General features: G+C 46.3%; 1 long non-coding RNA gene across 1 annotated transcript in view, besides 2 other annotated features; it reads right to left on the reverse strand.

Annotated features, from left to right (window-relative positions):
* ETS2-AS1 (ETS2 antisense RNA 1) overlaps positions 1-23,252 on the reverse strand; it is a 61,139-nt gene that overhangs the window by 36,740 nt on the left and 1,147 nt on the right. The window contains exon 2 of the long non-coding RNA NR_120405.1: positions 9,608-9,663. This is a non-coding gene — a long non-coding RNA (ETS2 antisense RNA 1). The remainder of the gene's footprint in view (positions 1-9,607; positions 9,664-23,252) is intronic.
* Positions 390-890: an enhancer, noted in NCBI's record as "H3K4me1 hESC enhancer chr21:40286344-40286844 (GRCh37/hg19 assembly coordinates)". NCBI's record gives its function as "activates a minimal SCP1, AML or CMV promoter by ChIP-STARR-seq in primed H9 embryonic stem cells {active_cell/tissue: H9 hESC(primed)}" and the evidence as "EXISTENCE:reporter gene assay evidence [ECO:0000049][PMID:30033119]".
* Positions 891-1,391: an enhancer, noted in NCBI's record as "H3K4me1 hESC enhancer chr21:40286845-40287345 (GRCh37/hg19 assembly coordinates)". NCBI's record gives its function as "activates a minimal SCP1, AML or CMV promoter by ChIP-STARR-seq in primed H9 embryonic stem cells {active_cell/tissue: H9 hESC(primed)}" and the evidence as "EXISTENCE:reporter gene assay evidence [ECO:0000049][PMID:30033119]".

Raw genomic sequence — 23,252 nt, forward strand, 5'->3', positions numbered from 1 at the left:
ACAACATACCACACAACACACAATATACAACATACACAACAAACCACACACAACACACACCACAAACCACACACAACATACAACACACATCACAACTACACAATATACACCACATACAACACACAATATACACAACACACACCACATACCACACACAACATGCAACACATACCACACACAACACATACAAATGCATACCACATACCACACACATACAAACACATGCCACATACCACACAAACCACACAGCGCACACCACATACACAACACACAACACAAACCACACACTGCACACACCACACAAACACATTACACAAACCACACACTACACAAAACACATCACACACAGCACACACATCACACACAACACATGCACCACATATACACCCACATACACACCACACACACCACACTTCACACACATCCCACACACCCCTCTCTCTCTCTCCTTCCCTGTCTCTCTCTGTCTCTCTGTCTCTCCCTCCCTGTCTCTCTCTCCTCATGCGTTCTCACCCATGGAGAATGTAAGTGAGAGGAGCTATTTACGTCATCCATAAAGAAGAAGGGAGGAAGGACCACAGAAGCCCACTCTCTATCAGAAGGGCCAGAGCTCAGGGAGCGCCTTTGTCAGCAAGATGGGAACCAGCTTTTACGGAGCACTTTGTGTCTTCAAAGAACTTCACCAACATTGACTCATTAAGCCACCCACACCTCTGAGGCAGCTGGGGTGGCTTGGTTCTCCCTGTCAGAGAGGAGAGAGGTCAACGCTCACCTCAGGGCACAGGGCAAATTCAAGAGAGGGCAAGGGCCAGTGTGTCCCAGATGACCCGGCCGAGGAACCTGCTTCTGTGTCAGGGAAGGGGTCAAGTGAGGTCGGAAGTCAAGGACCAGCTCTCTAGGTGCTGAAGGGTTAAGGAAGGAGGAAGAGAGGGTGGCCGGTGGCTGGTGGCATCATGTTACCTTCTGCCTGTCATCCAGAGAGCCAAGCTGAACAGGCATCAGGGTGCCTGTGAGGAGGGGTGGGCCCAGCCTTCCTGGGGCAGCAGCCCCTCCACTCTCTTTTCCTGTGCTGACAGAGAAGGGAGAAGAGGTCTCAGAGAGGCTCTTGGACCGAGTTCCTTTGTTCCTCCCTTCTAGGAGTGGTGCATTTTTACAATATCAACAGTCCTCACTCCCAGGCAAGATCTCTGTAATGCATCACACAGATGAATCCTTCTGTATCTCAAAGTTCACACACAGTATGAACTTAACAGCCAACAGGGAGCTTGTTTTTATGCTAATGGAATGGCAAAGGGAAAGTTCTTCCCAAATGAAAGAGCTTTGATGTCCTGTATTTCTATATGTGTGTGTATGTGTGTACACATATATATATACACACAAATATATATATATATATATATATACACACACACACACACACACATATATTTCCTCCAAAAAAGAAATGGCTGGTCCGGAGCTGAATCTCTTTCCTCCTCAAACCCCTACTTGGAAGCAGGCATTCCTCCCATCGTGAAAGGGCTCACATACAGCACAACTTGGTTTCTGAAAGCTTGGCCTTTGGAGCTAGAAAGATTTGTTTCAGTCATTGTCTGGATGTGGAGAAGAACCTGACTCTTAGAGGCAGCTTTCTCTGACCCCATCGCTGCCTGGGATCCCAACATCTAGGAAGAGGTTTAAAAGAGAAACTGTCCAACCCCAAACCAAGGGCAACACAAACCAGCCTGGCTTCTTCACTCACAGCTTGAGCAAGCTGCTTGTCTCGGTGATTATTTGGACACATGCTACGAAGCACAGAGACATACGCTTACCTTTTGTTTTCAGGGATTAAAGAGAAGATTTTAAAAATCTGAAGCCAAAAAGACACAGAGCAACAGAAGCAGCTGTACAAAACACACCCTCAGAAGGGAACAACTTCAGAAGAGAGAACGAGCAGGACCCTCAACTTTGTCCTGAGCCCTTCATTGGAAAGCTTATCCATCTTCATTTTTCCTAAAACTGGGATTTGTAACTAAAACCATTTCCTAAATGCTACTATGGACATTGTAGTACCAGGCACAAACTAGGGTAGATGTGTCATTTTCAAGGACAGTTTAACTGGGTGCATTGTATTTAGGTCAAGTGACTTAAAATGCTAGGTTGGACAACTTAGGTGAACTCTTTATTGGCACAATGTAATGCATATTTTGCACAGCCAAGTCAATCTTGCATTCTTGTTAGAAGGTGTGAATTGGTATTTTCAATCAGTGGCAGCTGACTATAGTATCAAGAGCCCAGGAGTTCAAATCTGCTTCTGTCATCTACCCACCAAAGGACCTCAGGCTGATTAAACCCTTCTAGACTCATGTCCCCACCTCTAAACAAACAATAGTAATGGCACCTCCCTGGTAGGTTTGCTGTAAAGATTAAATGAGATGTTGCCGCAAAACAATGAGCCACAGTAGGCATTCTCTTTGCCCTTGGATTTGTTTTTCCACAATACAATTCTATGTACCTTAGAAAAATCAAATGATGATCTGGTTACTTATTGACCTAATTGAAGGGATGCCTATAAGGTTATTGAAATTTATGTGTTTTTGTTTGTTTGTTTTATTGGCCTTTTAGTTAGAAATAAGGATTGAGGAAAGAAAAAAGGGGGAAGAGAGGGATGGAAGGAGAGAGGGAAAAGGAAGAGAAAAAGGAAGGAAGGGAGGGAGGGAAGGGAGGGGAGAGAAAGGAAGGAAGAAGGAAGAAAGGAAGGAAGAAAAGGAAGGAGGGAAGGAAGGAAGAGAAGGAAGAAGAGAAGGAAGGAGGGAAGGAAGGAAGAGAAGGAAGAAGAGAAGGAAGGAGGGAAGGAGGGAAGGAAGGAAGAGAAGGAAGAAGAGAAGGAAGGAGGGAAGGAAGGAAGGAAGGGAGGGAGGGAGGGAAGGAACTGAGCCTATTTTAACCAAACACAGAGAACTTAGAATGGAGCTAACCTTATCTCTTCCACATCTGTATATGAAAATCTGAAAGAAAAAATGTCCTCCCGTGTTTTTTTGCTGCTTTATCAGAGGTGCTTGCAAGCCTCCGCCTGGGCAGGCTGTGGCCTGTTGCACCTGTTTGTGAAGACCTTCCTTTTCTTGAAACAATACACTGAATAAATACCCCTGGAGTTCGAAATCTGGCAAAGCAACTGAGAAGGGGTGGGGGTGGCGGTGCAAAAACTATGAGAAGAAAGGCATTACACACAGTAAGAGCTTGCTCAGTCAATATTTGTTGAATGAATGAATTCTAGCTTCCGATTATACCTTTGAGCTTTAATGTCTCTTGGCTGCAGAACTGATCCCCCGTTTCAGCTTTCTGTGTTCATGCTGCCATTGCATAGACTAGAACGGCCATTTCATGTCACCTGTTTTACAAGATGTAGAGCACATTCTCAGACCACCTGCATCACAGTCATCTGCTAAAAAGGCATATTCCAGGCCTTTCCAAATGCCAAAGACCAGGGATTCTGAAGATCCATAATCCAGTATGTGACTGGCCCCAAACTGGCTTCTTTAGGTGAGGGGAGAGAGGGGAAGCGTCTGGCTTCTACAGAGGGAGAAGGGAGAGTTGACCCGGAGCCCCAGCCAGCCTGCACCCCGGGGGTGGAGGAGAGTTGGGGGGCAGGGGCACTAACATTATTCTTTTTTTTTTTTGAGACGGAGTTTTGCTCTTGTTGCCCAGGCTGGAGTGCAATGGTGCGATCTCAGCTCACCGCAACCTCTGCCTCCCAGGTTCAAGCAATTCTCCTGCCTCAGCCTCCTGAGTAGCTGGGATTACAGGCACGTGCCACTACACCCAGCTAATTTTGTATTTTTAGTAGAGACAGGGTTTCTCCATGTTGGTCAGGCTGGTCTCGAACTCCTGACCTCAGGTCATCCACCCATCTCGGTCTCCCAAAGTACTGAGATTACAGGTGTGAGCCACTGCACCCAGCCTAACATCATTCTCTTTCAACCTGAGGGTCTAAGAGACACTGTTAAAGAAGCTTCAAATAAAGGCTTGTTATTTAAACTTATAAAACAGCCCCCTAAGAGACCAAAATAGCAATAGCCTAAGCACTATATTAGCAGGAGGGAGGAGGGAACAAATCTTCGTTTCTCATGGGAGAAATCTACCGATAATGCCAAAAATGGGTATTTTTGAAGCGGTACACGTACATTACTTAGCAACCTGGGGTGGATTGCCAGCAGAACTAAAAGCAGAAATAGTTACAAGATTTAATTTAAAATGGTGATTTCTGTGAAGCTAGCCTGGGGTGGGGTGGCCAGGGCAGGGAACTCTTGTTTTCCACAAGAAAATATTTCTATACGGGTTGATTTTTTTCCCAGCCATGTCTAAATCACAAAAGAAAGTTAGACTTTGTATTCGAAAAGCATTTGGGCTGGTTGAGTCAGTCTCTGGGGTTGGGGATGGTGGCCCATGAAGGTGACTCCAAAAGCTCCCAAATGAGTCTCTGAGCTGCTGCTGAACCTGGGACCAGGTAACTTTGTGAAGTGAATGAACCAATGAATAAATAATGAAAGAAGAATCAGAGAAGTCAACACTGGCTGTTTGATATGCACACGGATATGCCAGTCTTGCCCAGGGACCCAAATCCAACCTAAATTGAAAGGCAAAACTGAATATAGCTTCACCTCAAGGCGCCTCTTCCTCTCCTGCACCCCTTTTTTTTAACCTATTCTAATTTCACAATTAGGAAATAATACAAGTATTGAAAGTTACATCATACATAAACCATTTCCCCAAATGTCCTTGGCTGGTGCCATCACCCAGGAACTCCCAGGGTGGCTGGTGATCACAGAAGACTCCATTTAGACCACTCAGCAGGGTACGCCAAGGACAGTCCTCTCAACCTGCAGAACTTTCTGGTTTAAAACAAAAAACAAAACAAAAAACCACTGCTTTTAAGACTTAAATCAAGGTCTTCAACAGAAAAGCCAGAGACAAACAAAAACAAACAAACTGATTCTGTTTTCCACCAAGCTCAAAGAGCCTTTGCCAAAGTAAATCAAAGCACTCCAGCAGCCAGCTTATTAGGTTTAATCATCAACTGTGCTTATCAGATCCTTCATTTGTAAGTCCCTTGAAGAAAAAAAGTGCAAAATGATTCCTTTTGTGCTTTGGAGATTGATATCAAAGCAGGCCTTGAGGTCAACTACAGAGGTGCTTTAAGTGGAAATTATAAGCAGGAAACAAAATGCACTCATTCAATTTCTTCAAGTTGAGTGGAGACCTCCTGGATGCCACGTGTCAGCTTTACCTGCTAGAAACACACGCTCACCTCGCTGTCCAAGACCCTGGAAAGGGGAACCCCTTGAATTGATTGGATTTTGCTCCCCTTGGCCAATTCTTCACTATGGTTTAGAGATTTGTGGTCTTCCAGTGGCATTCTACTCAATCAAGGTGACCAGCCATCTGTTGAACTGTCTTTTCCAACCTGATATACCCAAGTGTTGTGGTTCCAATTTCAATATTCCCTCCTAGGGAGAGCAAATGAGAAGATCTATGGGTGAATAATACAAGAATATGGTAAATGGTTGACAATATTACCCACGAACCTGCATTAAGTCAGGTTGGTTCGCTGGCACCCTGAAGCCAGCCATAGCATAGTATTTGATTCAAAATCCAAACACACAGCAGCCAAAGAGGAAAGCAAAGGGCAAATTAAGCCACCACTGAAGGTGCCGGGACAGGCCAGAGGAAGATTCCATCCCACACCCAGCTCAACTTCTTCCCACCTTTCTTCTTTGTCTGTCTGCATCTGACATTTCAGTTCTCATAATCTTCTCTCCAAACAAATTCTGCCACGTTCTCCCGGGACACCCTCTTGCTTTCTCTCTCCCTCTTGATGCAACAGTAGTTCTCAAACCTTCCCATGGAAAATCCCACCAGTTTCTTCCTTCCTGGGACCCTCTCTCCTTTCCTTTCCCTATACCAAAAGATCAAGACCAAGCTGGGATTACAGAAAGCGGGAACCCTGAGAGTGGAGTAGGAAACAGAGACTGAGGTTATTGGTGCACAAAATATGTGGTCCCTGGAACACTATTAATATTGTATTGATGGCCTACAGTGTGTTGGCCACCATATTAAATTGCTGAATTTAACAGGGGTCTAAATTGGGCTTCTCTAAGTGCGTTCTGACGACACTGTTCCAGGGAGATGCTTCTTACTAAGAGCATTTGATGGTTAAATACATTTGGAAAATGTGTCATCTCCTATTCATCCCCTGGAGACTCCTAATACACATTACATTTTTGGTAATTCCTGCAATAGATATACTTATTTGTCATTGGTTAGCCCAGTATTTCCCTGTTTTTTTTTCTTTTTTTTTTTTTTGTTTGTTTGTTTGTTTTTTGAAACAGGGTCTTACTCTAGCAGCCAGGCTGGAGTGCAGTGGCGCAATCTCAGCTCACTGCAACCTCTGCTTCTTGGGTTCAAGTGAACCTCCTGCCTCAGCCTCCCAAGTAACTGGGACTACAGGCACACGCCACCACACCTGGCTAACTTTTGTATTATTTGTAGTAACAGGGTCTCACTATGTTGCCCAGGCTCCTAACTTATTTGATCACCAAACCCACTTGATCGTGGAAAAAGAAGCAGCTAATGTCAGCATCACTCTTGGCCCACGTAGATCTTCAAGATGGAAGTCACCAAAGTACAAATGTTCCATGTGTGTAGGCTCTGGAGCCCTGGGTGGGTGTTCACCTGATTTACTGGAGTGTTTGTGGTAGTGTAGCCATGGGCGTGATGATTCTTGACTAGGAGGTTTTGTTCCCCAGGAACAGGGGCTGCAAACAGATGAGCTAGGGAGACAATTCAGGCATGGATGGTTGAGTAAACACAGAACGTTTAAAAAGAAAAATCAGCAGAATTACGTTGGTGCTCCTGTGTGGGATTCCTTTCCAAACTATAGTCATGGCTTTTAAAAATCTCAAAGATCCTTTGGTTTTCTTTCTCACACTTCCATTCCCCAGAACCCCTACCCATTCCTTAGCATTGTTGTTTCTTAAATGCAATGATCTTCTCATGGTCCACAGACCTAGGAGAGGAATGGAGACCCCTCCAGCCCAGAGCCAGCCCCAGACGTCTGACACCAGGGCTGCTATTTTGAAGGGTGCTTCGAGATCTGCAGCTCCAGGCATTTTGTTATTTTGCTATTTGCTTTTGGAACTTCTTAAAACAAACCTCAAAGACGAGAAAACTCCTGTTTGAAATGAATTCCTTTTAGAATCCAAGAAATGACTCATAGAAGCTGTTTTGGCATTTATGTTCCCTGTTAAGATGATTAGGCTCATAAATTCTATTTTTGAAATGCAGTCTTTGTACCCCGAATATTTTTCCAGAACAGCAACAAAAAAAACCTGAGGTGGAGGAGTAGGGGAGGAATGATATCCCTATTTACATGTTTGCTATGATTTAAATACATGCTGTTGCCTACTTATTTTTGTATTTTATCATCTATTTTTCCCCACACTATTAAAGAGGTTGGGCAATTTTCTTCAGTGAACTTGCTTAAAATGCTCTTTTTCTAAAGAAGAAACTGACTTTTAAAAATATCACTAGCTCATATGAACAAACTCATGTCTTGTTCATGTATGAGCTAGTAAGATTAAAAGTTCTGTTTTCACTCAAATGTCCAATGACTGATGAATGAATAACAAAAATGTGGAATAGTATTCAGCCTTAAAAAGGAATAAAATTCTGATACTTGTTCCAAGTAGGAATATATCTTGAGGACTCTGGGAGCACACTTTCAGAAACACCAGTGGCCTGGGGCTTCTTCCCCCGCCTGGTTTTGATCTTACCAACACTGCTGCTCCCGAAACAGCCTAGTTACTCATTCTTCAAAACTAATGCTTGGCTGGACCCAAGCCCTACTTTAATCACAAAACTGGTACCGTTCCAACTGAGTTAGGTGGTTTTCTTAGGGCCATGCAACGGACTGTCTTGGCAGGGGGCAGGTGCAGCCTTCCTTCTTGGGAAAAAAGTCTCAACTGTAGAAATGTGATGGCCCCTGAGATTTGTTTTAAGTTATTGTAGTTGTTACCTAAGTTTTATGCACCAACGCCTTTGTTCTTGTGTAATAAACTGTCAACTGCAGCATGTTCAAAGTAGCTCAACCCTCTATTTGGTCATAAAATTAATCCTAATCTAAAAACCACTCTTTCATTTGTAATTGCGTGGCAAGCCCAAGTTTTTAAGGAGCGTTTTGTTGTTCGGTACTTTTGATAACACCTGTGAAGCAGTGCTGGTCATGAGAAAAGACTTCGTGTGTGCCTTTTCAAGAACAATGAACTGCACTAAACTCTTTTTTTTTAACTTGAAGTTCAGGGGTACATGTGCAGGTTTGTTATATAGGTAAACTTGTGCTGCGAATGTTTATTGAACAGATTGTTTCATCAACCACATATTAAGCCTAGTACCCATTAGTTATTTTTTCTGATCCTCTCCTTCCTCCCACCCTCTACCCTCAAGTAGGCCCCAGTGTGCGTTGCTCCTCTCTATGTGTCCAAGTGTTCTCATTATTTAACTCCCAGTTATAAGTGAGAACATGCAGTTATTTGGTTTTTTGTTCCTGTATTAGTTTGCTAAGGATAATGGCTTCATCTACGTGCCTGCAAATAATATGATCTCATTCTTTTTTATGGCTGCATAGTATTCCATGGTGTATGTGTATCACATTTTTTATCCAGTCAATTACCGATGGGCATTTAGGTTGATTCCATATCTTTGCTGTTGTGAATAGTGCTGCAATGAACATATGTGTGCATATGTCTTTATGACAGAACGATTTATATTTCTTTGGGTATATACCTGGTATTGGGATTGCTGGGTTGAATGGTAGTTCTGTTTTTAGCTCTTTGAGGAATCACCACGCTGCTTTCCACAGTGGCTGGCCCAATTTACACTCCCACCAACAGTGTAGAAGCATTCCTTTCTCTCCATAAACTCACCAGCATCTGTTATTTTTTGACTTTTTAGTAATAGCCATTCTGACTGATGTGAGATGGTATCTCATTGTGGTTTTGATGCGCATTTCTCTAATAATTAGTGATGTGTAGCTTTTTTTTCATATGCTTGTTGGCCATGTATATGTATTCTTTTGAAAAGGAATTGCCTAAACTCAAATCTCAAAAGAAGTATTCTACTGTTTGAGTTTCAAATGAAAAATTAAGCATCAAGAATAAAGATCTTCAAGAATGTCATTTTTGAGCGTCTCTGGCATGACTAAAGAGGTCATGAATGCCCATCTCATGTGTATCTTCATGCTTTCCCTAAGGCACAGGCCATGTTTCTGAATTACATGTCAAGAGATATACACAGTCGAGGGAGTGACCAGCCATTACATTCCAAAAATAATCCCTGTGAAGTAATTATAATCTGTTTACCTTGATTTGTCCAGAACAACTTGGTCATCAAGCATCTCTCTTTATGATGCACCCGCATGGATTTTGGTAAAGTAGAGATTGTGGAGGACTGAATGTATCAAATATAGACAAAAGTGTCAGATAAGCTTTACAAATAAGTTTGCCACATTTTTTCAGGTGTAGGCAATTCTCGCTGACTTCACCGGGGCTGATCTGGAGTGATGTTAACTTACCCCAGTGAGCTTTGTCCTCTCAGCTTCGGGCTTCTGGGCCACTCCCAGTTGATGTCCTGGGGCACAAGAGATGGGGGAGATGGATAAGAACACAGTTCCCATCAGTTTCCAGGATGCCTCATTAGGAAGCTCTCTTTTTGGCCAGACCTGGGGGAGACACCATATAACACAATGCACCCCAGAGGAAAGGCAGTGAAGTTTAGCAGGGCTGAGCCATCCCCACTTGAGATACGAGGCTGGGCACCATTTTACACCAGTGATGACACCTCTAATGGGGTGGAAAGGTCACTTAGGCATGGCTATCTTCAACTCCACTATTGACCTTCCCCACCTCCACTCCTTTTCTGCCCTCCCTCTATAGTCTGGGCAGAAAGAAGGAAGAGATTTCTTCCAGAGGTCGTAAGATAAGCCACAGAAGAACTTCTCTCCACAAAGCCCCCATTTGTGGTCATGGAAGGCAGGCGAAGGTTGGTGCCCTTGGATGAGTGTCTCTTGCTCTGGAATGGAGGGCGGGCGCTGGTGCTAGCATTTCCCTCACCTTTGGAAACTCCCTTGGCTGTAAAGAGCAAGATGAGGCCAGGCGCAGTGGCTCACACCTGTAATCCCAGCACTTGGGGAGGCCAAGGTGGGTGGATCACGAGGTCAGGAGATGGAGACCATCCTGGCTAACATGGTGAAACCCCACCTCTACTAAAAATACAAAAAAATTAGCCGGGCGTAGTGGCGGCGCCTGTAGTCCCAGCTACTCGGGAGGCTGAGGCGGGAGAATGGCGTGAACCCGGGAGGCGGAGCTTGCAGTGAGCCGAGACTGTGCCACTGCACTCCAGCCTGGGCGACAGAGCGAGACTCCGTCTCAAAAAAAAAAAAAAAGAGCAAGATGAGAGGACACAGGCAGGGGCGGCCCCAGTGAAGCTGCCAGCTGGAGCCTCCATATCCCCTCCCCAGCCTTCCTGCAGATCCACTGCTGATGGTGTCACCCAGCCCCTTGCCTGCAGCCGAGGCCCGCTCCCCTCTCAGATGGCGCTCCACCAATCCCAAGAAAGGGGCGATGAGTCCCAAGAATGTCTGCCTTTTAATGGGTGCCAGTCCGGGCCCAAAGGGTTGTGGGAGAAACAATGAGCTGAAAGGGGCCCCTCTGATCTTTGGACTCACATCCTTCAGGGGGACTACAGGCTGCATCATTCATTCCTTCATTGATTCAATAACTGTTCATTGAGTTTCTGCTCTGTGTTCTCAAGGTTGAGAATTGGCAGCAAACAAGACAAACAGACTCTGCTTTCATGGTTTTGAGTACCTTGAGACCTACAGCCCCAAGCCAAGAAATCCAGCTTTCCCATCACAGCACAGGGTGCTATAAAGAACATCAGGTGGGTCATGGGCTGCAGAGCAACTGAATCCCCCTGAACACTCCCCCCGTTCAGGGAATGCCAAGCTAAGGCCTCAGTGAGGAAAAGGAGCCAGGTAAGTGAAAATACAGGGGGAAAGCTTTGTGTGGGGAAAACGTGCAAAGGCCCTGGGGTAGGTGGTCTGGAGTATTCAAGGAGCAGCGGGTGTTTTGCAGCTGCAGGGGAAGGAAGGAGGGATGTGCAGAGATCTCAGTGCAGCCCTTCACACAGGGCATCATGGGGGAGGCATGAAGATGGTCCCAACTGTCTTCTGAGGACACTCTCTGGTCTCATCTGGAGCCCCGAGCGTGGGCTTCTAAACCACTCAAGGGACCAGTGGAAAAACTTGTCTGATTCAAAACCCAGTGAAGAAGCCAGGGGTGTTGGCATGTGCCTGTAGTGCCAGCTACTTAGGAGGCTAAGATGGGAAGATGGCTCAAGCCCAGGAGTTCAAGGCCAGCCTGGGCAAAGTAGAGTCCCTGTCTGTCACAAAAGAGTAAAATTAAATAAATAAAATCAACCATGCACTGCTGTCCTCCTTGCACACCACTGAAGAGGCTCCTGCCTTCTTTGGCGGTCCCTCCATTCATATCCAGCATCATAAGATGTCAGGCACACATCTCAGCCTGCTGTATTCCCAGCAGAGGAGGCAGAGCCAGGACACCAGCCCATTCTTCCTAACTAATCTGCCGTTTAATTAGACCAGTTCTTCTCAACAACGGGGTGCTGTTTCACCCAGGGGACACTGGCAACCTCTGGAGGCATTTTTGGTTGGCACAAATGGGGCAGGGGTGCTTCTGGCATCTGGCAGGTAGGAACAGGGGTGCTGCTAACATCCTGCAGCACTGGGGACAGCCCCCCACACCAGAAAACCATCCCATCCAAAATGCTAACCCATAGATCAGAAGGAAGATGAGCCTGGGGAGAAAACTAGAGAGGATTTTGCTCCAGAAAAAAATGACCCACAATAAAGCTGGCTCAGCTCCTTTCAAAATTAAATACCTTCCTTCTTTGTCACACACTGGAAAACGAGCGAGTTTCTATTTCAGGCTGTGGGGTGAGTTAGCGTCGGCTTGGCCGGCTGTCTGGCAGAGGCTCCGATTCATCAATGACAGCTAAGTGTGGTTTGCTGTGTGTCAGGAGAAGGTCCAGGATGGGCTGGGGCAGGGAGTGTGGGGGGCAGACCACCCTCATCTCTGGGGCTGCTGGAGCTTCCGGAGCCTGGAGCACACCCAGCCTGCTTCTCCTTGTGGGAAGTGATTAAATGTGAAGCTTAAAGCTGTAAGGACTTCCTGGCATCGCGGGTTTTTACTTCTGAACTTGTTCCCCCCTCTCTTTACTTGCCCTCTGAAGCTCCCAAATTCAGGGCCAGGCACAGTGGCTCATGCCTATAATCCCAGCACTTTGGGAGGCCAAGGCAGGTGGACTGCTTGAGGCCAGGAGTTGGAGACCAGCCTGGCAATATAGCAAGACCCCATCTCTATAAAATAAATTAATTAAGCTCTCAAATCGAAAGCAGAGGTGTGTGTAGAAATACCCTTAAATAGATATGACAGTGATGTCATTGTACAACATAGCTGTCAGGGTGGAAGTGTGTCTCCCAAAATTGATATGTTGAAGCCTTAACCCATGGTAGCTCAGAATGTGACTCTGTTTGGACATGGGGTCTTCAGAGGGGTAACTAAAGTAAAGTAACGCTATTTGGGTGAGTCCCTAATCCAGTCTGACTGGTGTCCTCATAAGAAGAGGAGACAGAAACATACACAGAGGGATGAGCTTGTGAGGACACAGGGAGAGGACGGCATCTATGAGTCGAGGAGAGAGACCTCAGGAGAAATCTACCAGTCAGGAGAAACCAACCCTGCCACACTTTGGTCTTGGACTCCAGCCTCCAGAACTGGGAGACAATAAATTTCTGCTGTTTAAGACAGCCAGTCTGTGGTTCTTTGTTATGGCAGCCTTGGCAAACTAATCCCACATGCTTAGAGCTACGAGGGGTTCAGATATTCTCCTGTGCAACCTGCCCCCCAGGGTCACCATCTCTTTTATGGACACACTCTGAGAAGCCATCAGTCACTGTTGGGGATGGAGACCTCACTACGTCTCAAAGAAATTGTTTAGCATGGTATATTAGCTTTATCTTGCTGCTGTAACAAATTATTTTAATCTTGGGTGTTTAAGGAAATAGCAATTTATCCTCTCATGGTTCTGGAAGCCAGAAGTCCAAAACCAGTTTCCCTGGGCTAGCACCCTCCAAGGGCTGTGGTGGAGAATCTGTTTCCTTGCCTTTCCCAGCATCTAGAGCTACATCCCTTGCATTTCTTGGCTCCTGGTCCCTTCCTTCCTCCATCTTCAAAGCCTGTAGTGTAGCATCTTGCTTCCTCGATCAGATGGCCCTCTTCTGTCTATGTAAAATCTCCTTCTGCCCATCTCTTATAAGAACACTAGAGAGTGCATTTAGGGCCCTCCTGGATGAGCCAGGACAAACTCCCATCCCAGATCCTTAATTTAATCACATTTGCAAAGTCTCTGCCCTATAAAGTGATGTATTCACGGGTTCCAGAGATTAGAATGTGGGTATCTTTGCAGGAAGGGGGGATTCTTCAGCCTCACACACATTGGCCTCCTCTCCAGGGCTGAAAGTCACCTCTCCAGAGCTTCCAACCCATCACTCCTTGTTGTGAACTCTGCAGCAAATAACCCATGTCTAACTCTTCCTACTTGAGATCTTCCTCCAGCTTTCTGAGAACAGCTCAGGTGCACCTTCAAGGGTGCCCATTTCCAGACTGGCTGCCCCATGATTTCCCTCCTTCCTCATGGGCTATGGCCTCCCAAGGCCTCTGCAGCCTGTTTCCTCTCCAACAGACTTGAGTTGGTTAATAGCTCTCGAAAAATGTGGCAACAAGAATGGGTGAGATGCTGCAAGGTGACTCCACAGCCCAGAGAACAGCAGGTGCCTGCCCTTTAGTGCCGTAGGCTATGGGCCATGGGCCACAGAGCTTGCTTCAGCTTCAGTATCTGCATTTCACCTGCAAGGCACTGAGGCCCCATCACTGAAAAACCACAAGAGCAGAAATCTTCCACCTTGTCTACCACAGAGTTCCAGTTCCTAAGACACCGGCCTACTCCTAACTGGGGCTCAAAAAATACCTGTTGATGAAACAAATGTAGCATTAATTCTACTTGCCAAGTCTATGAGTAGATATTTATCTTTAATCTTCCAGAATTTCAACTTTGCCATGAATATAACATTTTTTGTCTCGTATAAACAATGGTTTGCGGAAAAACAAAAGAGGCTTTTCGATAAACAGAGAGAGCCCAGCCAGTGAAGCTTCAACACTTTTAAGATTCTAAGTCACTAGTTCACGGTTAATTCAAGTAACTACTTTGCAGACTGGAAGGGTGAAAAGAAGTGACAAAGACCCCTCTTCCTCCCACTTCAGTTAGGGGGTAGGGGAGAAAGAGAGAGAGGGGAACATTTATGGGACGATGGAAAGTCCAAAAGGAACCAAAAATTTTCCCACGTCAAAAAAGGCAGAGTCCAAAGAATAAGAGAAAAGTCTGATGAGGCCTGAATATCATCAGCTATTATAGAGGAACGAGTTTGATTTAATTGTAGCAGCTACACTTGTACACATTTGAGGTGGAGAAAAAACTGGACCTCCTGACACAGTCATGTTTTCATGTGAACAGGAAAGATTCTACTGCAGCAGGCCATGGGCCAGCCCAGACAACTGTCTGCAGCCAACACCTGCTGTGTGTACTTAGCTCTTCACTGGCAGCCTCACCTTCCCTGCACCCCACATCCTTAATGGGGGTGATGCTCTTTCCAAAGGGCAGAAAACTGGTTCTTAAGGGGTCAACAAATCTTAGACATCATAATGGTTTGTGGCCCTTTAAATTTTCATTCTCTACAGCACATTCTTACTCTTTAGTATTGAATTTCCTTTGTTGTGAGGAAATTAAATTAAGTTTAAATCGATTAGTTTTTCTTTCTGGGAGGTGATAAGGATGGAAAGGTTGTACAACAGGGCCCCAACCCACCCTGGCACCAGCAGCCCTGTCCACTGAGGAGTCTGAAGCTCACTCACACTTGGGCCTAAGTGTTTGACTGGGATGTCTGATGGATGGAACCTTTCCCACCAGCTGCCAGCCATGCTGCACAGAGGTGTGAGCATGTAGGGAGGAACCAATGCAGTGGGCCAGGGGTACCATCTTCATTGCTCCTCGAAGATGGTGGCTCTTTTCTCTGTTGCTGTGACATATGGCTTCTGCTAGTCACAAGCCTGTGGCCACATAGCTCCCATGTCTGGCTTCCTCTTGCAGCATGCTGCTTTGCCCTTGCCAATTCTTGGTTAGTCTTTTCCTCATGCTTCCCAAGAGGGTGACAGGGTGGGTTGATCAGTCATTATCTAGTTTCCAATATCCTTTGTGTTAGTTTCCTTGGAGCTGCTGTAGTAAATTACCATAGACTTAGTGGCTTTAAAAACACAAAATTTGGGGGCCATAAAGAAGGAAAAAACGTCTACTCTCACCCTCCTAGGTTCCCCAGCTATAGTCTTGTAAATGAGACTAATTGCTAATGGTTTGAATGTCTCTCTTCCAAAACTCATGTTGAAACTTAATTGCCAATGTGATGTAATGTAATGTATCAGGAGGTGGGGCCTTGAAGAGGTGATTAATAGATTAATGTCATTATTGTGGGAGTGGGTTAGTTGTTGCAGAAGTGGGATCCTGATGAAAAGAATGAGTTCAGTCTAATTTCCTCTGCTTGTCTCACATGCTCACTTCTGCCTTCTGCCATGGGCCCACCTTGGCCAGATGCAAGTGCCAAGCACTTGGACTTCCCGGCCTCCAGAACTGTGAGCTAAATCAATCTCTCTTTTTTGAAATAAATTATCTTGTCTGTGGCATTCTGTTATAGCAGCAGAAGATGGACTAAGGCACTGATGAAGGACAGATTAACAAGAGGAAAGCAGACAGAAGTTTACTAATGTGTGCATCTTAACCATGCATGAGGAGCACTCAGGGATGAGTAACTCAGAGGGGTGGATAGAACTTGGGTTTACATAGAATTTTAACAAAAGAACAGTCAATTTTGTAGAGAAGTGACAAGACAAGAGAAAAGGGCTTTGAGTTTCAAGGGGGAGGACACATTGTGGGAAGACAAATATATGGAAAACCTAATGGTAGATAAGGGCTAGTTAATAAGGTTTGTTGATTCCCCTGGTGCCGTCACAGGCTGATAAGGGTCTAGAGCTGTCTCTGATGATTAACACTTGCCCTTCTTGGTAGAGAAAGGAGGGGGATACCTTTACAAATTTATGTTCCGCTTTTAGACAAACAGGGGGAAGGCAGGGAGCTTTTCTTCTTCTCAATTGCCTTCAGCTTAAAATAATCCTGTTACCAACATGGCTTATATTGGGGAGGCATATTATTCTGCTATGCTTCAGGGCCCACTCAGATAATTCAGTATAATTTCCCATCACAAGATACCTTATTTATCACATCAGCTGTGTAGAGTAACATATTCACAGGGATTCAGACACAGGCTTTTTTGGGGGAAGAGAGGGGGCATTGTTCAGGCTACCTCATGCCTTAAGACAGTGTTCTTCTGCCAGGACACTTTGCTGACTGACAGCCTGCCTGGAAGGCAGGCTTTATCAGTGGTGGATAGAGCAGTTAAATCACAGAATGCAACTCAACTTGGCAACCTGTGGATCAGGGGGCACCCCAAGAAACTGGGTTGTTGTAGATGCTCTGCTGGGCCATGCCTGCAAGGCCTGCCCTGATATTTTCCTAAGACTATTTATATTTTTGAAGATAGCTTTGGATTAAACAGTTAAAAGTCAAATGGCAAGGAGTAGGGGGTATTGGGGATAAAGCCTTTGCCTTGAGACAGCCGTCACCCACTCTATTAAAGGAAACAGACAAGCAATGTCCAAGCAGCCAGAAACTCAGAAAACTCCAGATGGAGCAATATCCCCCAGACTGACCCCACTCCTCCTTCTGAAGTTGTGCAAGATATTGCCTGGGGGAAGTGAGGTCACCCACTTCACCATCACTTTAGCCAAAGTGCAGCAGTGTGCAATATACAAAGTGTTTGTGGAGGTTTGAGTTTGTTCATTTTCTTTTTCCAAGAGCAGATTTTTCCCCCTAAAAGCATGCTCTTAAAGGAACGGCCCCCAGCTAGTCACAAGGAACTCGAATACTAACAAACACATCATTAAACATATATGACTTCCTTTCAGTACATTCCGTCCAGATGCAGGAGACAGTTACCACATTGATTTTCAGACCACCCTCATTATTGCTCCCACCCATCTCTCATTAAATTGCCTTCAAACAACAACAAAAAAAAGTCATTAAGATCTAACTTCTGCTTCTCCTTTTTCTTAATTCCATTCTGTGAAGTTAAATAGGCAATAGTTGGTTCAAACAACCTACGATATTTCCTCATTTTCTCTATTTTGTAGGTCCTGAGAAGCTGCCATTAGCTCTCAAGGCTTTGAGAGTCCAGCCAGTTTCTCCAGAGTGAAGTCCCCCTCCTCAGAGGAACAAATGCTTTCAGAGGAACAAATGCTTTCTGAGAAACTCGCCACTGGGCAGATCCTGCCACCCACCTGCCTGCCGCTGCAAAGCAGAGCCTGCCCAAAAAGCTGCCATCATTCCCGGCACTGCTACATAAATGCTGAGTGTGGTGGCTTGAATTGTGTCCCTTGAAAAGATACGTTACCGTCCCAATCCCTGGTACCTGGGAATGTGACTTTATTTGGAAAGAGGGTCTTTGTAAATATAAGAAGATGGGGTCACGCTGGAGTAGGGTGTGCTTTAAATCCAAAGGCTGTGTCCTCCTAAGAGGGAAATGTGGACACAGGCACAGAGGTAAGATGATGTAAAGACACGCAGGAAGGAGGCCATGGGATGGGAGGCATTTGCTGCAAGCCCCAGAACCCCAAGGATCCCTGGCAACCGCCAGAAACCAGGAAGAGGCAAGAAGGGTTCTTCCTCCGAGCCCCCAAGAAGGAACCAACTGATTACAGACTTCTGGCCTCCAAGACTGTGAGAGAATACATTTCTGTTTTCTTTTTGGTTTGTTTTTTTCTTTTCTTTTTGAGCAGGGTCTCACCCTGTCACCCAAGCTGAAATGCAGTGGTGTGATCACAGCTCACCACAGCCTGGACCTGCCAGGCTCAAGCAATCCTCCCATCTCTGTCTCCTGAGAAACTGGGATTACAGGCATGCACCGCCGCCACGCCCAACTAATTTTTGTATTTTCTGTTGAGATGGGGTTTCTCTATGTTGGCCAGGCTGGTCTCAAACTCCTGAGCTCAAGCGATCCACCTGCCTTGGCATCCGAAAGTGCTGGGATTACAGGCGTGAGCCACTGTGCTCAGCCCCATTTCTGTTGTTTGAAGCCACTGAGTTTGTGGCTGTTTGTTACAGCAGCTCCGGGAAACTCACACACAGTTCCACCCTAAAATGCCCCTTTAGGTCACTTTCACTCAAAGTCGCTGCCTATCTCTATTTTTATTTATTTTTTTATTTATTTTTATTATTATTTTTTTTTCTGAGACAGAGTCTCACTGTGTCACCCAGGCCAGAGTGCAGAGGCATGATCTCAGCTCACTGCAACCTCTGCCTCCTGGGTTCAAGCGATTCTCCTGCCTCAGCCTCTCAAGTAGCTGGAATTACAGGCACACGCCACCATGCCCAGCTAATTTTTTGGATTTTTTTAGTAGACATGGGTTTCACCATGTTGGCCAGGCTGGTCTCAAACTCCTGACCTCAAATGATACGCCCACCTCACCCTCCCAAAGTGCTGGGATTTGAGCCACCATGCCCGGCTTTATCTCTATTCTTAATACATCTCTTCTGCTGCTTCTGTCTGCTTCTGAGGTTTCAACCTAAGCCCGATTTGGGCTGCAAATCCAAGTAAGAACCATTAAGGCCCTCTGGGGATTTGGCTAGTTCCAAAAGGGGTCCAGGGAAATGAGGTGTGTCCTCCCCAACCTTCCCTCCCTCCAAGTTTTCTTAAAGTAGGGTGGCCCATGTCGAAGGATGCAAAATAAAAGCAAAATAATGCCATACCCATTGCCTACAAGGGGCAGGGCCCAGGGAGGAAGGAAAGAAGATGCTGTTAGGTCTCTAGTCACGCCTGACTCTCTGCTGTGAGTGTCCCATAGAATGTCTCATTCTCACCATCCTGAGGTCAGGGCCAAGGTCCCCATCCTATAGGTGCAGGGTGTCTGGGCTGGGATCCAAGCCAAGTATCCTTGTTCCGAAGATCACATGAAGATTCACCCCAAGACCTGGTGTTACAGCAGCCTTCTTCTATATCCACGGTCTGTGCAGGGCCACTCAGTTGAAGTTCAGTTCAACATAATTACAGTTGAAGTTCAGTTCAACATAATTACAGCGGCAGTTCTCAAACCTTCGGGGGCATCAGAATCACCTGAATGGCTTGGTGCAACACCCGTTGTTCCTCGCCCCATAGTTTCTGATTCCGTGGGTCTGGGTAGGGCCTGGGATTCTGCATTGCTAACACGTTTCCAGGCAATGGTGAGAGGTCAGTCCAGGCTCCACAGTTTGAGACCTATCCCTTCGTGTAAACATGGGATGGTATCAGGTATGAGCCAACTCCTGGTGTCTACGCCCTCAAATGATGGATGGAAAAGACCAGGAGATGGAGGGGCCCTCCTTCCTCAGCCCCCCTCCACCCACACACACACGGCTTTCATGACCTCCCCTTTGCTAGCTGCCTCTGCCAGGCGGTGGCCTGAGTGCTGCTGTCACCCACACCCTCCATCCTTCCTGTGCCCAGAGTCCATTTCTCCACTTCCCTCTGTTCACGGTTAATTCACGTGGAGGGAACGTCCCTGAGCTTGTGTTCACATGAGCAGACACACCCACAGGGGCCGCCACTTCTTTTGCCACCTTTCCGTGTTTACCTTGTCCTTCCCTTTTGGATTTGTTTTGCTACACATTGTGTTATGAGCTGGACTGTGTTCCCCTCAAAATTCATCTCTTGGCCTAGCACGGTGGCTCAAGCCTATAATCCCAGCACTTTGGGAGGCCGAGGCGGGTGAATCACCTGGGGTTAGAAGTTCAAGACCAGCCTGGCCATCATAGTGAACCCCATCTCTACTAAAAATACAAAAATTAGCCGAGTGGTAGTGGCACATGCCTATAATCCCAGCTATTCGGGAGGCTAGGGCAGGAGAATCACTTGAACCCGGGCGGCAGAGATTGCGGTGAACCGAGATCGCGACACTGCACTCCAGTCTGGGTGACAGAGTGAGACTCTGTCTCAAAAAAATAAAAACAAAAACTCCTGTCTTGAAGCCCTATCCCCTAGTAGCTCAGACTGTGACTGTATTCGGAGATGGGGCCTTTAAAGAGGTGATTAAAGTTAAATGTGATGTCCCAGGGCCAGAAGTCTCTTCAGAAATGATGGGCTTAAGGATTTTTTTTTTTTTTTGAGACAGAGTCTTGCACTCTCACCCAGGCCAGAGTGCAGTGGCGTGATCTCAGCTCACTGCAGCTCTGCCTCCTGGGTTCAAGCGATTCTCCCGCCTCAGCCTCCTGAGTAGCTGGGATTACAGGTGCCCACAATCATGCCCAGCTAACTTTTATATTTTTAGTAGAGATGGGTTTCACCATGTTGGCCAGGCTAGTCTTGAACTCCTGACCTCAGGTGAACCACCCCTCGGCCTTCCAAAGTACTGGGATTATAGGCGTGAGCCACCTCACCAGGCTGGGTTTAGGGATTTTTTCAGATGAAGAGATTGTCCTGGTATGTCCTAAATGCAATGACAAGAGGCCTTAAAGAAGAACACAGAGGAAGATATGCTACAGGAGCAGAAGGGCTGTTACCAAGGAGCAAGATGCTACGTGGTTGCTTTAAAGACGGAGGGAGGGGCCATGGGCCAGGGAATGCTGGCAGCCACCAGGGGCCAGAAAAGACAAGACCAGATTCTCCCCTAGACCCTCCAGAGTGGCACAGCCCTGCCAATGCCTTGACCTTAACCCAGCAACACTAACTTCGGATTTCCGCCCTCCAGCCCCATAACAGAATGAAGTTGTGTTGTTTGAAGGCATCAAGCTTGTGGTCATTTGCTATGACAGCCACAGCAAACTCCTACAGACAGAAGAGAAAAGACTCAAACCCAGGCCGTCTGTCTTCAGAACCTGTACTTATTAATAAAGATTTTACCATTTAAAACATTCTTAATGAGGCAAAGCTTCATTAAGTGAAATTCACAGTACGATCTGACAAATTTAAGCCCTGTGTAGCGCCACCTGAATCAAGATATAGAACAGATCATTTCCCCAAGAAAATTCCCCACTGCCCTTTTCTAGTGGGTCCAGTCCCTGTCCCGAGACAGCCACAGTCCTGATTCCCATCACCACCCATCAGTCCTACCTGTTCTTGAATATCATATAAATAAAACAGTACATTGCTCCTTTTCTCCTGTTCTCCTACCCGTGGTTTCAATATTCCACAGATTGCTATCATTTGCCTGTGGGCTAACTCTTGGGTTCCAGTTTTTGGCTACGATGCATCAACCTGCTGTAAACACTCTTGGGCAGGTCCTTCGGTGCACACGTTTTCATTTCTCTTGGGCAAACCCTTCCTAGGAGTGGAATTGCTGGGTCATGGGAGTGGTGTGTGTTTCATTTTACATGAAACTGCCATGCTGGTCTTCCTAAGTGCCTACCATTTGACGGGGCCCCCACAGTGAGGGGTCTCCCGTAGCTTCATGTCCTCCATAGCACTCACTGTTGGGCCCCTGCACCCTTAACCACTGTACACAATGAGGTCTAAGCTTTCACGGAGTTTGCTGCGAGGTTGAAGTGAGGCAACCTCCAAAAAGCAAAGCTCCAGGCACGCACCTGCTTCATGCACCGGAATATTCCTTTCTGTTCCTTTTACTAAATAAATGGAGTTCATTCCTCTGAAAAATAAGCAGCTTTGGACCATAGAGCCACCAAATGACATTTTTGTAAATCATATTTCTTTTGAAACCTTGCTGAAATATTTGAGCCACTACTTACGTTCTCTTACTACCCAATTATAATGCATGGTCTCCAGGACCCATTCTCCAAACTCTGCTTAGCACGCACGGACCTTTGTTTACATGAATCTCAACAGCTGTGTATGGCAACAGTGCTCCTTTCCACGGAACCAAAGGTGAGATGCAGGCCGCTCCTGAAAGACTGGAAAAAAACGGCTCCGAACACTTTCTCTCTCTCTCCTCCCTCTGTCTCTCTTTGTCTCTGTCTGTTTCTGTCCCTGTGTTTGTCTCCGTCTCTCTCTCTCCAATGTCAGGTTCACAGAAATAGATTACCACCCTCTTCCTACTGGAAGCACATGTAAGTATGTGCACATCCACAGGCATCTGCATACTCTCAGCCCAGCGAGGTCACCAACACCATGTGTCCTGAGCCTTAGCACCAATTCACACCCACTTACAGCTCCCTCTTCCTCTAGAGGCACCACTTGGGCTGAACCTGTGTTTGGCCTTTTTTTTTGAACACTGTAGTTTTATCCTGGGTAGGTATTCCTAAAAACACACTCTTTAGTTTTAGTTTTTTCATATTTTTATAAAAGGTTATCATGGTGCATGCCATTTTCTGGGATTCATGTTTTCAACTCTGTTAGGGCTCGCAGTGTCCAAGACCCCTCCAGTCCTTGGCCCACAGAGGAAACCGAGCCTCAGAGAAGGGCAAGCTCCTCCCCACAGCATAGCCATAACCCATCACATAGGTTGACAGCAACCAACATATTAGCATGGAATGATCATTTCTTAGAAGCTGTGGGAGGAACTTCCACCCCCCACATCGTTTCTCTGTCTCGTCTCAACCTCAGGTATCAAGGTTGTTTTGTTCCATATTTCACAGATGAGGAAGCAGGGACTCAAGGCCGGTGAATTTAACTCTGGTCATATGGCTGGCAGAGCAGGCCCTCAACTTGGGCTTGTCTGACCTGCTGCAGGAGCCCATGTCAGCCTGACTCTCCCACCTGGACACGAGTTCCCAAGGCACGTGTGGCATCAGAGGTCCTGCCAGTCAAAGCGTCGGATCTGTGCTTCCCCCCATCAGGCTGGTGCCACAGGAGGAAGGAAAGGGCAAACACCTCTTCCTGGGAGCAGGGGTCAGGTCAGCCTGAGGCGGCAGGAATTTTAGCAAATCCAAGTTTTCTCATGTCTGGACAGCACCTTGTAGCACCCACTCTGATGGTGCCAAGGCTCAGGCCG

The sequence above is a fragment of the Homo sapiens genome, chromosome 21 (assembly GCF_000001405.40).
Source record: "Homo sapiens chromosome 21, GRCh38.p14 Primary Assembly".
Taxonomy (NCBI): Eukaryota; Metazoa; Chordata; class Mammalia; order Primates; family Hominidae; genus Homo; species Homo sapiens.